This window comes from Homo sapiens, chromosome 7, assembly GCF_000001405.40.
Source record: "Homo sapiens chromosome 7, GRCh38.p14 Primary Assembly".
NCBI classification, from domain to species: domain Eukaryota; kingdom Metazoa; phylum Chordata; class Mammalia; order Primates; family Hominidae; genus Homo; species Homo sapiens.
The window spans coordinates 100,398,639-100,400,871 of NC_000007.14; the positions used below are offsets into that span (position 1 = coordinate 100,398,639).

At 50.3% G+C, this 2,233-nt stretch overlaps 1 protein-coding gene across 5 annotated transcripts in view; it reads left to right on the top strand.

Annotated features, from left to right (window-relative positions):
* Positions 1-1,458, top strand: part of PILRA (paired immunoglobin like type 2 receptor alpha) — a 28,806-nt gene extending 27,348 nt beyond the window's left edge. For all 5 annotated transcript variants that reach the window (XM_047420292.1, XM_047420291.1, NM_013439.3 and 2 more), the window contains 3 exons: positions 653-702; positions 943-974; positions 1,147-1,458. In XM_047420292.1, the coding sequence (XP_047276248.1) occupies positions 653-702; positions 943-974; positions 1,147-1,269 (205 nt within the window). In that variant the 3' untranslated portion in view covers positions 1,270-1,458. The remainder of the gene's footprint in view (positions 1-652; positions 703-942; positions 975-1,146) is intronic.

Genomic DNA, 2,233 nt, shown 5'->3' on the forward strand with positions numbered 1-2,233 from the left:
GCAATTGTTTTGCTTCTCCCAGTTTTAGCCAAGGCAGCGCCAGCAGAGAGAAAGCAAGGATTGACCTTTTTCCTATTTTTATTCTCCGTGTTCCTCTCTCATACGAGCAACTTCTCTAGAAGAACCCAACTCACTGAGCACCGAGGGACCTCTGCTAAGCCACACAGATTGCCCCTAATTCCTCTTCCAAGCAGCCTCCGAGTCTAAAACCATCACACCCATCCTGAGCAGGGTGGACAGGTTGCAGAGCACTCCCCAAAGAGAACCAACCCCTAACACGTGTCATAACTCTTTCTTCAATTTTTTTTTTTTTTAATTTTTGAGAGAGGGTATCGCTCTGTCACCCAGGCTGGAGTGCAGTGGCGCAATCATAGCTCACAGCCTTGAACTCCTGGGCTCAAGTGATCCTCCCACCTCAGCCTCCTGAGTAGCTGTGACCACAGGCACACACCACTACGTCTGGCTAGTTTTTGTATTTATTGTAGAGATGGGGTCTCGCTATGTTGTCCAGGCTGGTCTTGTACTCCTGGGATCAAGCAATGGCCACCTGCCTCAGTCTCCCAAAGTGCTGGGATTACAGGTGCCACCACCCAGCCCATGTCTTAAAATGCCCAACCTCTAACATATTTCCTGTCCTCTTGTTCCCATACAGGGAACCCTTCCAAAACACAGAGGAGCCATATGAGAATATCAGGAATGAAGGTGAGTCCTTACCACCATCCTTCCCCAGTTTCTACCCCTGGCACTTCCTGTTTCCCCAAATACCCCCTACCTGGGTCCGTGCCCCTGTCAGTATTTTCTTCTTTCCATTCCTTGCCCCTTGCCCTCACGTGACCCTGGCCCTGACCTAGCAGATAACCTCACTCCTAGAGCCCCCTGCCCATCTCTCTCCCCTGGCTGTCACGCCACCTGACCTTGGCACACCTTGCTTTTTATTCTTAGGACAAAATACAGATCCCAAGCTAAATCCCAAGGTAAGCAATCAGACCAGGGCCTGAAGGAATTAAAGAGAAGCCTGGAGAAGGTGGGGTGGAAGGGAGAAGGGGAGTGTGGTGTGGGCAGGAGAGTCAAACTGTAGGCTTGCCGCTAAGATGGGAACAGCTCCGTCTCCACTGTCTAACCCTTTCTCTCTGGGTTCTCGCCCAGGATGACGGCATCGTCTATGCTTCCCTTGCCCTCTCCAGCTCCACCTCACCCAGAGCACCTCCCAGCCACCGTCCCCTCAAGAGCCCCCAGAACGAGACCCTGTACTCTGTCTTAAAGGCCTAACCAATGGACAGCCCTCTCAAGACTGAATGGTGAGGCCAGGTACAGTGGCGCACACCTGTAATCCCAGCTACTCTGAAGCCTGAGGCAGAATCAAGTGAGCCCAGGAGTTCAGGGCCAGCTTTGATAATGGAGCGAGATGCCATCTCTAGTTAAAAATATATATTAACAATAAAGTAACAAATTTAAAAAGATTGTCTTCAAAACTATTTTTAAAATCTGCATCCATTCAAGTACAGAGAGAAACAAGTAAAAATAAGACTGCACAATGACCTTCTTACGAGTACGCTACGCTTCCAATAGAAAGGGCCACAGCTTCCAGCAATAACCAAGGCCACACAGATGACTCAGAGGCCAGCCAGAGAACTGACAGAAAGAGAGCCATCTACTCCAACTCCCTCTTCACCTTCCCAACCCTGGCCCATAAAACTAAAAGTACCCCCAAAACTTACCTGAATGTAAGGAGAAAACTGACATCACCTTCAACTCCTGTCTCTCCCACTGAAAATGAATTCTAACAGAGAACTCACACCCAAGACCCTTCCTCTAGTACTTTTTTTAGTGACTTCCTTGGGCCAGGGAACATAAGCCCCCAAACCTTGGTAGCCAGCCCAAACCCAAAGCCTGTCCTCAAATCCGATCACAGTCTTCCCTATGGTGACAATGAGAGCATCACATTTGACATCATTCACAACCCTATAAGGTAGAGAACGCACTCGCTGTAAGATGAAGAGCAGAACCAGGATGGTGAACATGCTTTTCCCCAGGCCATGGAGGTAGCTAGTGAGGAGCCGAGCCCGGATTTGAACCCAGATCTGCCCTTCTTGAAGTCCTCTAGGACTCAGGTCTCACTGCCTTCCCCAGATGCCTGCACTGTGCAGGCTCCCGCTAGAAGCAGTGACGCGCCACAGTGACACGGAGGAGGGAGAGCAGCCAACAGGGGGCAGTTAGAGACCAGCCAACCCAG